Raw genomic sequence first — 13,670 nt, 5'->3', positions numbered from 1 at the left:
AAAAGTCAAAGATTGCTCACAGATTCCATCAGACGATTAGAATGTGTTGTAATGGGGAAAGCTTTAGGTGAGATAGTCAAGAATCTAGGACTGTAGTCTCAGATCTCTGTCTTGTCCCTGAACAACTTTGCACACAGCATTTCTTCTCTCTAGGCATCAGTTTCTACATTGATAAGAAGATTGGACTTTACCTTTAAGACCCATCTCAGCTCTGGTATGCTGTGTATCCAACAGGATATTAGAAACTCTAGGTGATGAGTTTAATGAAAAAGATGTGAATCTAGAAGTCTATTCAAGGCAGTTCTTGTGCGTTTTCAGAGAGCACCAAGCTTGGATGATCTCTTCTGCTCTTTCCTGCCAGTCTGTCTTCCCTCCCCACTCTGAAAGCATTGGTGTGGGAAGAGGTCTTCATTAAAACATTCTGGATTTACACGAACACACTCTTGCTCTTTCTCTTTACTTGTTTTTGAGTTGTAGGGTGGGAGGATGGGTTACTACAGAAAAAAAGTAAGGTGACTTGCTGGATTATATGCTTAATGTTGAGGGAGTTTGGAAATGGCCCTGGTATACAAAATTATAGGCTTGTCAGGAACTAAAATGTATTCCCTGACATTTTGTAACAAAAACAATACCTGACATTCATTGGGTACTTAATAAATATTTGTTGAATTAATGGACATCTTTACCTTTTAACTATATTCTCAATGGCAAACTTTCACGCATAGCTTTGCCTTTTTATGCCTGTCTGACTCCAAGGATTGATAATACTTTTTTCATACTCAAATAAAATGACATCACTGAAATTCCACTATAGGTATAGCTTCAGTTACAACGGCTATAGCTACTGCTTACAATAGATGTTTATACACATTTAATCTAGCATTAAAAAAATATTTTTTCCTTAATTTTTTTGATAAGACAGGATCTTGCTGTGTTGCCCAGGCTGGTCTCAAACTCCTGGGCCCAGGCAAGCCTCCCAAGTACCATGCCTAGCTAATTCTAGCGTTCTTTATGAGGAACAATGAGGTTTCCTAGATTGATACTAAAATAAGGAAAAAATAATAGAATAATTTCTTGTGGCTGCATAATACAATTACAAATTCTTTATTTTTGTTTGTTGCCTACAAATTTTAGAACCTTTGCACATATATCATCTCATTGGATCTTTAAAATAGTGTTATTGGCTGGGCAGGGTAGATCACCTGAGGTCAGGAGTTTGAGACCAGCCTGGCCAATGTGGTGAAACCCCATCTCTACTAAAAATACAAAAATTAGCCAGGTGTGGTGGTGGGCACCTGTAATCCCAGCTACTTGGGAGGCTGAGGCAGGAGAATCACTTGAATCTGGGAGGCGGAGGTTGCAGTGAGCCGAGATCACGCCACTGCACTCCAGGCTAGGCAACAAGAGCGAAACTCCATCTCAATCATATCAGTCAATAATATTATTTTAAAAAGAAGACAGATAATTTTCTCTTCATTTTACAGAACAGAAAAACCAAGACACAAACAATCTCACTGTTTACCTGACATCACCCAAATATGTAACAGAGATAGAATCAATGTTTACTTTTTCTGATTTTTGGTATGGTACAGTGCTTTTTTGATTTATTTGACCTTTTATATATTTTATATATATCTGACCTTGTCCAGTCTTAGACTATCAGGTGCCCATATGAGGGAAATTAGGAAAGGGCGATGTAAGTTTGGCTTTTATAAGTTCATTGTCACAGTAGTTCCTGGTATTTAGTTTGTCACATTGAAGCTTTGCTGGATGTGACTAAGCTGGCAGAGAAATCTTGCAAAATATCTTTTTGAAATTAGTATCACACCCAACTGCATTCTGTTGCAAATTACCAACATTGTGTGTGACATTTTTCCTTCCTGCCCCCTCAGCTAGCCCCAGTTATTGGGATTTAGATGTGTTTTCCTGCTTGAAAAAGAAAAGAGCCTTAACAGGTAGCAGTATGTCAAGTTGGACTTTGCCCACCGAGGAAACAGCATCTGCCATTGATTGACATGATACTAATTTCAGCTGGGTGCCCAGGAGGCCTCTGGCCGATAGTTGTTTTGGTTGGTTTGTTTATTTGGATTTGTTTTGCAGTTCGTGTCTGGGATGTCCGGCCATTTGCCCCCAAAGAGAGATGTGTAAAGATATTTCAAGGAAATGTGCACAACTTTGAAAAGGTGAGTTCTGCATGGCAGAGGAGTTTTACTGTTCATTTACTTCAGAGAAACATTTAAGGTGGTACTAAGGATAGAGAGCAGTAGCTCTGCTAAGAATGGACTTCATTCCAATAACACTGCTCTTAATTAAAACTTGTTGCCAAAAATAAAACGGATAGAAATAATAGTGACTGGGGAGAAGCCAGTCATATAGCCCAAAAGGAATGGAGCCAGCCCTCAAACTGAGGGCATCTGACTTGACACCAGCCTCAACAAGAGACTCCTGGCCTTTTTAATTACTTGGGAATTTTACCCTCCTAAATCAGTTTTCCATATGGAACCCAAGCTCCCATAGCTGTAACCTGGATGGTCTCCCTACCTGCCTCCGCATCCCGTGACCATGTGTGTTAGAACCCTAAGAATACATCTCTTCCCTCAGTAACTACCACGGCCCAAGTTCTGAGAGAGAAAATTTTTTTCAAAGCCTCAAATTTCAAGGTCAGCTCTATTGAAAGAAGCTTTTCCCCTCAGAGAATTTGTTAATAGAGATTTTTTTTTTTGAGAGCTCATTGAGATTCAGTTTCACTGTATAAATCAAATTTTGTTTTTTAGACCTGGCATGGTGGCTCACAGCTGTAATCCCAGCACTTTGGGAAGCCAAGGTGGGAGGCCAGGAGTTAGAGACCAGCCAGGGCAACATAGTAAGACCCTGTCTCTACAAAAGATAAAAAATCTGGGTGTGGTGGCATGTGCCTGCAGTCTCAGCTGCTTGGGAGGCTGAAGTGGGAGGATCACTTGGGCCCAGGAGGTCAAAACTACAGTGAGCTATGATTGTGCCACTGTACTCCAGCTTGGACAAGAGAGCGAGACCCTGTCTCAAAAAAAAAAAAAACCCAAAATTTATTATTTGTTGGGTTTGCGTGTATTTTTCTTCAAGATAAATAGGAAAAAAAATGAGTATCAAGATAAATGGAGCAAAGGGAGCCTCCATTTATAAGTAGAACAAAATTTTGTTGCCAGGTTCAATCTAATTAACTGTAAGTTAAGTATTTTCTACAGTTTTTATATGGTGTAAAATAACAAAGTATGCTGTTTTGGGCCATAGAATATAAGATAATTACAGACCATCTTCCTGAGAAGAGTAATTAAAACTCTAGTTAGGAAATTTAAAGCCTCTTAGTGATTCGGTAGCCTTGCAAAGAGGAGTTTGGTATATTACTATTCAGTGGATTCTTGTTTATCATAGAACCTTCTGAGATGTTCTTGGTCACCTGATGGAAGCAAAATAGCAGCTGGCTCAGCCGACAGGTAAGGATTAGTGGGTGCAAAGTAAAGAATGATGTAGCTGGCCGGATGCGGTGGCTCGTGCCTGCAATCCCAGCACTTTGGGAGGCCGAGGCGGGCAGATCACCTGAGGTCAGTTCGAGACCAGCCTGACCAACATGGAGAAACCCCATCCCTACTAAAAATACAAAATTAGCCGGGCGTGGCGGCACATGCCTGTAATCCCAGCTACTCAGGAGGCTTAGGCAAGAGAATGACTTGAACCTGGGAGGCAGAGGTTGCGGTGAGCCGAGATCACGCCGTTGCACTGCTCCAGCCCGGGCAGCAAGAGCGAGACTCCATCTCCAAAAAAAAAACAATGATATAGCTATGCAGGATGTCTTCTTGTGTTTTATACATAAAGCGTGGATATGGAGCTAGAGCAGACATAGAGTTATGACTGTGCTTGAAGATGAAGCTCTGTGCAGTATGAAGGGTTTCAAAACCGTGTTCGACAAACAGATCATTTCTACCCACTTTGGAGACATTTTAGACCTAGAGGATCAACAATTTGTTTGATTCTGTTGGGTTCCCTTTGCCATCAGAATAAAATTCAGTCTCATAATCTGTCTCTAGTTTCCCTCACCACATTTCTTATTCCATGCTTCAGTTCATTTGAACACATATTAAATACCCACCTCCCCCACCATCACCACAATGCTGCGCACATGGAATTTTCATATTCTAACCTCCTTTTGCGTTCTCACCTCTAGGTTCTCTCTCACATTCCCTCTTCATTATCTAAACTCCTATATCTCTCTAGTAACCACCTCTATGTTACATCCATAAACTGTCCCTGGTCCCCTCTCTCTATTACCTCTTGGAGATAACTAATTGTTCTTTGTGCTGTAATCCCATTTCATACATCTAAACTTTGGTAGCATTTATTACATCTTACAATCAGACAGACAAAGTGAGGTACCTCCACTAAGTTATTTTCTCCTAGAGATTAGGGAATGAATCTTAGTCATTTCTGTGAACCCATGGCACTGTTGTCAGTGCTTGAGCTTTTCTAACCAATTAGTTTATATTACATGAATGAATTCCTAGCTGAAGAATGGCAGTCCAATTTTACCCTGCATAGCAGCTCAGCTATTGGTAATGCCTGCCTGTGTTGGAGATGATTCAGAGCTGTGTCTGGGTTAGTGGGAAGTGCAATGATTGCTAGGTGCAGGGTGTAACAAAATGTGAACTAGGTATTTTCCACCCCATGCTGAATTAATCGGCTAAGGCTTTATGAAATACGAATCTAAACTGGCTCAGGCATTATGTGCTGAATGAGAAACAGAAGGGAGAGAATTCTTCTGTCAGATGCTGTTGTATTTGGCATGTCTGTGGTAACCTGTGCTTGGGGGAGAATCAGAGGTTGAATAGGGATGTCCAGGTGTCGAGTCTGATGGGCTGCAAATGAGGCCTGGTAAAGAACAATAAGACCCTCTGACAGCAAATCCTGTGTTTAGCTCTCATTGGGCAGTGTCTTGACCCTTTTTAGCTTAATCCTATCCTCCCCTTTAGAGTTTCTCTTTCAATCCTACTGAAACAAGCACCATCCTATAAATAGGAAGACTTTCTTGGGCTAGCCAGGGCTTTCAGCATATTCCAGGGTTTTCCTCTATTTGGGGCCCTAACGCTGCCACACAGAAGCTGCACTGTGATCTGTCCCATACCTTTCTATTAATGAATAATTCTGAACATATTTAAATTCCAGAGTCTACTTTTTTTTTTCCTGACAAGTTTAATGCCAAGAAAAATGGACAAGTATTCAGGTATTTTCTGGAGGAAAAAGAAAGGGTCCAGGTGAAAGTGTCACATTGATCATTTGAGTGCAAGTGGTTTAGAGAGCTGCCTAGAAGAGGGAAATCTAAAGAATTTTAAGTTATCAAGTTGCTAGAGAAGACTTCAAGAAACAGACTAAGGTGTCTCATATTCTGATATAGTAAGAACTATCCTAAGTATTTTTACATAATTTTCAGCAGAAAGAGTGTATCTTTTGTAATTAAATTTTTGTTTGTTTTTGAGATGTAGTCTCACTCTGTCGCCCAGGCTGGAGTGCAGTGGTGCAATCTCTGCTCACTACAAGCTCCACCTCCTGGGTTTACACCATTCTCCTGCCTCAGACTCCCGAGTAGCTGGGACTACAGGTGCCCGCTACCACGCCTGGCTAGTTTTTTGTATTTTTAGTAGAGATGGAGTTTCACCGTGTTAGCCAGAATGATCTCAATCTCCTGACCTCATGATCCGCCTGCCTCGGCCTCCCAAAGTGCTGGGATTACAGTCATGAACCACTGCACCCAGCTGTAATTAAATTTTTAAATTATATTTACATACTTTTTTTTTCTGATGAGCAGTTTGTTTCTGGCATTGGCCCTTTCTGAATTGCAATGTCCTTTTTTTCTCTTTTCCTCTCCACTGTTCCTTTAAACTTTACATGTGGTCAATGGTGCACACCTTTAATCCCAACACTCTGAGAGGCTGAGGTGGAAGGATGGCTTGAACCCAAGAGTTCAAGACCAGCCTGGGCAAGATGGCAGGACCCTGTCTCTATAAAAAAAATATTTAAAAAATTAGCCAGGCATAGTAGTGTGCACCTGTAGTCCCAGCTACTTGGTAGGCTGAGGCAGAAGGACCCCATGAGCCCAGGAGTTTGAGGATATAGTGAGCTGCAATCATGCCACTGCTCTCCAGCCTGGGCAACAGAGCAAGACCCCATCTCTTTAAAAAAAAACAAAATCACATGTGAAAGCGTGGTATGAGGAAAGCCTATCCCTCTCTACCTGCTGGGGGTTGGCAAGATTTGACAGGCCACCTCACCAATTGGCCCCAAGTCAAGAAGCAGCTGTGTTACATAAGGCTTCTGGTTCCTGCCAAATGTTGCCATGCCAAAGTAAGGAGAGGGCAAGGAACCCCTCTAAATTTAGCATCTAATTGGCAGCCATCAAGAGTGAGACCTTGAAGTGTAAACCCTTGGAGATCTGGGATTCTGTCTTTTATGTGCCTGGGAAATGTATCCTCAGAAAACTCCTTTTCAGCTTGGCCTGGATTTGGCAAACTTCTCCTTTCTACTAACTAATAACTTACAGATCACCTCCTCATATTCAAACTTGAAACTCTGAATAGTCCTATAGGCTACGGGAAGGCTGACCAGTCTCTCGGCCAAGAGTGATTTATTCAGCCCATTGACTTCATGAGATTCTGTTTTGATGATGAGTGTACTTATAATAACAATAGCTATAATTAATTCTGTGTGCCAGGCACTTTGCATATATTACCTCATTATTTTTCTCAACAAAGTTATGAGATCAATATTTTCTCCATCATTGTAACTAAGAAGCTTAGAGAAGTTAAATGATCTGCAATTATTTAACTTCTCTGAGCTAAGCTTACTTAGCTAGTAAATAGCTGCACTGAGACTTGAACCCCAGTCTTTCTGACTCCAGAGCTCATACTCTTTCACTATGCCATACTGCCCTTTATTGAATTAATGAGGACCAGCTTTTTGTGCATGACAAGAAAGAAGACAGTAGGAAGGGCATGAGTATCAGAGCCATGGAGTCTAGACAGATGGAGTTCCTGCTTCTCTTCCATCTTGTTCAGAACTTACTTTCTATGGAGCCTAGCTGATGACAGCTAAATAGTATAATTAAGAAGCTCTTGTTTATTTGCATTTTTGACCAAAAGTGTAAGTTGGATTAGAACTAGGCATTTTATAATCCAGTACTGGTGAATGTACCATTTTTATGATCAAGTACTGGTGAGTTGTTGATTGCACAAAACAAAATATGTAAATAATTTTAAATACCTGCTTCAAAACTACCAGCCCTTTATATTTACCAACAGATGAATTTTACATCATCAGATTAAGATAATAGCTCTATACTTTACCCTTTAATGACTTAAGCAAGATTGAGGGTCAAAGGAACTTTTTTTTTTTTTTTTTTTTTTAGCCAGTACATTTATGGAGGGTAAGTGAAAGTAAAATACGAGAGTATATTAAGAGCTCCAGAGTCTTGGGTTCAGCTCTGTAGTTTCTGTGGCTACTGAAGAGGTGGTCAGGAACATAGGAACCCCCTGCTGGGCTCCTGGTCACTTCTGTCTGCTCCATGGCAGGAAACCTTCAGCACAGGACATCAAGGCAAGCTTGAATAAGAAAAACAATTTCTTCTTCCTAAGCCATATCATATCAGTTATACAGAAGTACTACTTTGGGACACAGTCTTCAGGAGAGCCTAGATGAGCTCATAAAATCTCAGCAGTTCACTCAACTTGCCCTTCAAGTTTTACTTCAGTTTGATAAGGCTATAAAGTCATCATTGGCTCAGAGGATTAGGAACAGAGTTGATTTCAGGGGCTCTCTAAATACATACAGATTGTGCCATATGCCACGCATGGTGGCTCATGCCCGTCATCCCAGCACTTTGGGAGGTGAAGGCAGGAGGATTGCTTGACGCGAGGAGTTCAAGACCAGCCTTAACAACATAGGAAGACACTGTCTCTACAAAAAAAAAAAAAAAAAATTAATTGAGAAAAACAAAAAGATTCTGTGATAATATGTAGACTTTTGTGAAAATTATGGCCTGTGATGATAAAAATACTGGCTCTAATACTATAGAATGAATAAGGAAAAAATCACATTTTTATGACATCTTCTGTTATTATTCATCACTTTTGAAGAGAAATGTAGAAGTTTTTTTTTATTTATTCTAGCATTGCAGAAAGTACATTGTGTTATTTCAGTATTTCAGTAGTATTTCAGTAGTATTCAGAGTATTTCAGTAGAAAGAAGCTTAAAACTCTATAGCCTCTTACATTACCTTTATTATACAGCATGAAAAAAAACATAATTTTTTTTTTCTTGAGACAGGATCTCACTCTGTCACCCAGGCTGGGGTGCAGTGGTGCCATCTCAGCTCACTGCAGCCTCTACGTGCTGGACTCAATCAGTCCTCCCACCTTGGCCTCCCAAGTAGCTGGGACCACAGGCATGCACCACTACACCTGGCTAATTTTTTTGTAGAGATGGGGTTTTACCATGTTGTCCAAGCTGGTCTCAAGCTCCTGAGCTCAAGCCTTGGCCCCCCAAAGTGCTAGGATTACAGATGTGAGCCACCATGCCCAGCCTCATAATTTTTTTTAATGACAAATAAAAATTTTGTCTTCCTAAGAACATTCTCTAATAAGCTCTTTTTTTTTGAAGAGTTCTAATTTTAGTTACGCCGTTGATGAACTGTATTGCCTTGGAAACGTCACTGTGCCCCAGTTTTCTTATCTCTAAAATAAGGAGTTTAGAGAAGCTGATTTCTTTTTTCTCCTCTTTTTTTTTTTTTTTTTTTTTTTGGAGATGGAGTCTCACTCTGTCACCCAGGCTAGAGGGCAGTGCCACGGTCTCAGCTCACTGCAACCTCCACCTCCCAGGTTCAGGCAATTCTCCTGCCTCAGCCTCCCGAGTAGTTGGGATTACAGGCACACGCTACCACTCCTGGCTAATTTTTTGTATTTTTAGTAGAGACTGGGTTTCACCTTGTTGGCCAGGCTGGTCTCAAACTCCAGACCTAAGACGATCCACGCACCTCGGCCTCCCAAAGTGTTGGGAGTACAGGCATGAGCCACCACTCCCAGCCTAGACAAGCTGATTTCTCTTGGCCCCTTCCCATTCTAGAATTCAGTATTCCTTCTGCCTGTTAATTCAATGGAAAAGTTGGCTCAAGTGAGTATTAGGTTAGCAAACACTATAAATATTTTATATACCAGACACTTCCTGTCCCTTCTCAGGTCTCTGTTTGAATACAGTACTAAAAAGTTCATCTGGATCAGCAGCCTAGGCTCCCACCCTGCCATGAGTTGGGTTACCTTTTAGATTTCCTGGATGAGTATGAAGTTAACTGTAGCCTAATTATACTAGACACTCTGAAAAAGGTTTTTGTGTGATGTCTGCAGGAAAAACTTTCTTTTCTTCCCTGTGGTGTTTCCCATTTCAGAAGCTTGTATTCAAACATGCCAGTCATGCTTATATTTTTAGTTATTCTTATTTCTCCACCCCATTGCTCAAGAGGTGAGTCCATGTCTTATTCAAACTCTGTGTTCCTAGTTTCTAAAAGCCAGAACATGGTTCAGTAAATGTAAGGTAAGTAAATAATTGTTGCTTCCATTTCCTTTAAAAAGCCATGCCTCTGTCCTACCCCCAGCTCTAAGAGGACTTACCCTTGCTTTTCATGATACCTTACAGGTTTGTTTATGTGTGGGATACCACAAGCAGGAGAATATTGTATAAGCTGCCCGGCCATGCTGGCTCCATCAATGAAGTGGCTTTCCACCCTGATGAGCCCATCAGTAAGTCTGTCCCAACGAGGGGGAAAGGGAAACTGGAAATCTCCCCGTAGGGATCCTGGGAATAGAGAGTCAAAAGCGGGTATCTGTTTTATACGAATTTCCATGCAAACAGCCTTTGGGTGTTTTTGTTGTTGTTGTTGTTGGTTTTTTTGTTGTTGGGTTTTGTTTTGTTTTGTTTTTGAGACAGTGTCTCGCTGTTTTGCCCAGGTTGGAGCAATGGTGCAATCTTGGCTCACTGCAACCTCTGCCTCCTGGGTTCAAGCAGTTCTCCTGCCTCAGCCTCCCAAGCAGCTGGGATTACAGGCACCCACCACCATGCCCAGCTAATTTTTTTTTTTTTTTGTATTTTTAGTAGAGACGGGGTTTCACCGCATTGGTCAGGGTGGTCACGAACTCCTGACGTCCAGTAATCCACCCGCCTCAGCCTCCCAAAGTGCTGGGATTACAGGTGTGAGCCACTGTGCCCAGCTGCAAACAGTCTTTATGTGGGTATCAATGTCAGTCTCACCATTGCTCATAAGTGGTGAGAGTAAGAGCAATGCTCCATTTTCTTCTTGATCTCAAAGGGAAGTTGGTAAGTCTAATTTTTTTTTAAATTTACTTCCATCAAGTCTGTTTCAATGATGTATTTGATTAAAAGAAAGATACTTTTTTTTTTTTTTTTTGAGACAGAGTCTCACTCTTGTCGCCCAGGCTGGAGTGCAGTGGCACGATCTCGGCTCACTGCAACCTCTGCCTTCCCAGGTTCAAGCGATTCTCCTGCCTCAGCCTCCCAAGTAGCTGGGACTACAGGCACCCACCACCACACCTGCCTAATTTTTGTGTTTTTAGTAGAGACGAGGTTTCACCATGTTGGCCAGGCTGGTCTCAAACTCCTGACCTCTGGTAATCCACCCGCCTCAGCTTCCCAAAGTGCTGGGATTACAGATGTGAGCCACTGCGCCCGGCCAAGAATGATACTTTTTAATATTTAGATATAAATTTCAGCTTAAAATTTTTTGGCTGGCTAAACCAAATAATTTCAGCCTTGAATTAAAGGAGAAACTGTAACTTTCTCCAGGGCTAAGTATAACAAGCAGAAGCACATTTACAAAATGACTGGCACAGCCATAGATTCCTCTCTTCTAGAATGACTGGGAAAGTCTTTTTCTTGGGGTTTGACTGACAAGGGATGTCAGTATTTAGTGTCTGATAATGTATTTCCCATAGTACAGTCATCCTCATGATATTAGAGGACTTGGATTGAAAAGCCAGGCTACAATTTCCTGTGGATGGTGTTTAGGAGGGGAATTTAAGCTAAGTCCAATTGCTCTTTTATACCAGAATTGGCTCTTGACACAAGAGCCCTTGAGCACCAAGTCTCCTTGAGCCTTCATTATTTCTAGTTATCTGTTCTTTTTACCTCAGTTATCTCAGCATCGAGTGACAAGAGACTGTATATGGGAGAGATTCAGTGAAGATATGGACTGGAAGACTCCAAGGCCGCTTGTCTTTGAGACCTCAGACTGCATAAGTGATGCCAAATGTTGGATGTCCAGGCTAGCACCCTCCCTTCAGATGACCATTGCTAGCAAGAAACAGGAGGCGGTGGCCATATTCCAAAAACCACTTCTGTCCCATTTCACCAGGATGACTAAGGCAAGCTCCCTGTGGCCTCTAAAAACCACCTGCCAGATTTCAGGGACTGTTTTTTTTTTTCTTTTTCTTTTTTCCTGTTTTCTAATGCAGGCCCAATGTGACAAATTTGTTGGTTGGGATTTTTTTTTTTTTTTTGTAACTGGCTTGTATGATATTTTCTTTCTGTATTTCTCTATATCATTTTGTATTAAAAGCCAAATAGATGCCTTTTTACAAGAGCCATGTGGATTGGATTTATTGCTGTCTTTTTTTTGAGGCTTGATTGCTATAAATCAGAATAGAGCATGATGTGGCCACAGAATACAATTCATTTAAACTTCCAAGAAGCTGCTCACTTGTTTTTTTTTCCCCCCTTTTCTGTGTTTTTAGGTTTACTTACTTCCATGAAAATGACAAAGAATAATTATCAGTAACAATACTTTTTTCCTACTAGAAGGATAGCAGCCAGGAGGTGATAAATAAGTTCTAAAAGAACCTGGTTTTGCCAGACGCGGTGGCTCATGCCTGTAATCCCAGCACTTTGGGAGGCCAAGGCAGGCGGATCACCTGAGGTCGGGAGTTCAAGACCAGCCTGGCCAACATGATGAAACCCCGTCTCTACTAAAAACACAAAAATTAGCTGGGTGTGGTGATGCACATCTGTAATCCCAGCTACTCGGGAGGCTGAGGCAAGAGACTCACTTGAACCTGGGAGGCGGAGGTTGCAGTGAGCTGAGATTGCGCCACTGTACTCCAGCCTGGGCGACAGAGCAAGACTCTGTCTCAAAAAAAAAAAAAAAAAAGAACCTGGTTTTGTGTACTTGCATCTGATCTTTAATGAACAGAGCCCGTATTTACTCTGCCTCCTGCCAAAAGAACTTTTCTGAGCAGCATTCTCTATTCTCAGGCTCCTGAAAGTGGGCAGATTTGGGGCAGTCTTAGCTGGTAGAAATGACATTGCCCAGAATGCTGCATCAAACTCAACTCAAATGGAATGTGAGAATGTTTGGGTGCAACTTAACCGTGACATTATCTGAGACATCTTTATGATTCTGTTTACTTGTCTGGCTTTGCATAAACAGACAGGGACATTAAGAAATGCTATTACTTTCCTCCTACCACTAAGACAGGTTACTGTCTCCCTGGATCACTGGGTGACAACACCCAGCACACAGATAGACACTAGTGAATCTCATCTGGCACTGGGGAGTAGAATGTGTTTTTTCTGAATCTCTTATCTCAGAACAAAGAGATCTTCACAGTTCTAACCTGTTCTGAGCATGTTTGGTTGTATACTTTTGGCTCACAAACCTGAATCATCTATTTATCTTAAGTTAGAGAGAGGATATCTACCCTGGGTTTGGGGCATCATCATTCAACAAACACATCAACCCCTATTACGTGGCAGGCATGACCATTGTTGCTGAAGACAGAGATAAATAAGGTACTGTCCTTGCCATCTTGAGAAGTGCACACACCAGTAGAAAAAACCGTCTCAAATTCATTACTTTTTTAAGTGAGCATATGCCAAAGATTTATACAACTCATCAATGAAGGAACCAGCAGGATGGTAAAGCTTTCAAACCAATTACTTTTAATACAGTGAATAACGTTTGAATAAAGTGCACTGGAAACACAGGAGTAAACAATTTATTTTGCCTTGGAGCATTTAGGAAGTTTCACAGATGATGTGATTATGCTTAGATTGGGACTTGGAGGATGAGTAGGGCTTGCCAGGTGGACAAAGAACATGTGCCTTTCAGGAAACAGCAGGCACAAGCTTGAAAGTGTGGCACATTTTATAAACCAGAAGAACTTGAGGATGATTAGAGTTGGGGAGCAGCAAACAGTAAAGTTACAGAACTGAAAGCCAAATCTGAGAAAGCTTGTACTTCATGTACGTGATCCATAGGTTGAGGTTTCCCAAAGTGCATTGCACAGAACACTGTTTTTCAGATAGTTTGTTAGATATTTTGGGGCATAAAGATCCCATGCTCAAGACCAGGTTAAATAAAGTGAAGCCAGTTTATTTACTGCAGGACTGTTTAGAGCCTTTAATATACATAGTATGGTAGAATCTCCAAAGGGAATAGTGACTTTCAGATTTCTGGTCTGAGCAATATATATATATGGTTATGCCTTTAACCAGGAGAAATTTGGACAAAGGTAGTATGCAAGCTGCTTTTCACACCTCCAGCAGTATCACTGAACACTCCCTAATAATCCTTTTTAAGCACCAGG

At 41.3% G+C, this 13,670-nt stretch overlaps 1 protein-coding gene across 1 annotated transcript in view; it reads left to right on the top strand.

Moving 5' to 3' along the window:
- The window catches only part of SNRNP40 (small nuclear ribonucleoprotein U5 subunit 40), a 37,221-nt gene extending 25,448 nt beyond the window's left edge, over positions 1 to 11,773 (top strand). Inside the window, exons 7-10 of the mRNA NM_004814.3 lie at positions 2,101 to 2,183; positions 3,409 to 3,470; positions 9,709 to 9,812; positions 11,220 to 11,773. Coding sequence (NP_004805.2) covers positions 2,101 to 2,183; positions 3,409 to 3,470; positions 9,709 to 9,812; positions 11,220 to 11,269 — 299 coding nt within the window. The 3' untranslated portion in view covers positions 11,270 to 11,773. The remainder of the gene's footprint in view (positions 1 to 2,100; positions 2,184 to 3,408; positions 3,471 to 9,708; positions 9,813 to 11,219) is intronic.
- The last annotated feature ends 1,897 nt before the right edge of the window (positions 11,774 to 13,670 follow it).

This window comes from Homo sapiens, chromosome 1 (assembly GCF_000001405.40).
Source record: "Homo sapiens chromosome 1, GRCh38.p14 Primary Assembly".
Lineage (NCBI taxonomy): Eukaryota > Metazoa > Chordata > Mammalia > Primates > Hominidae > Homo > Homo sapiens.
Note: the sequence above shows the minus strand (reverse complement) of the source record. Positions and strands in the feature narration are given on the sequence as shown.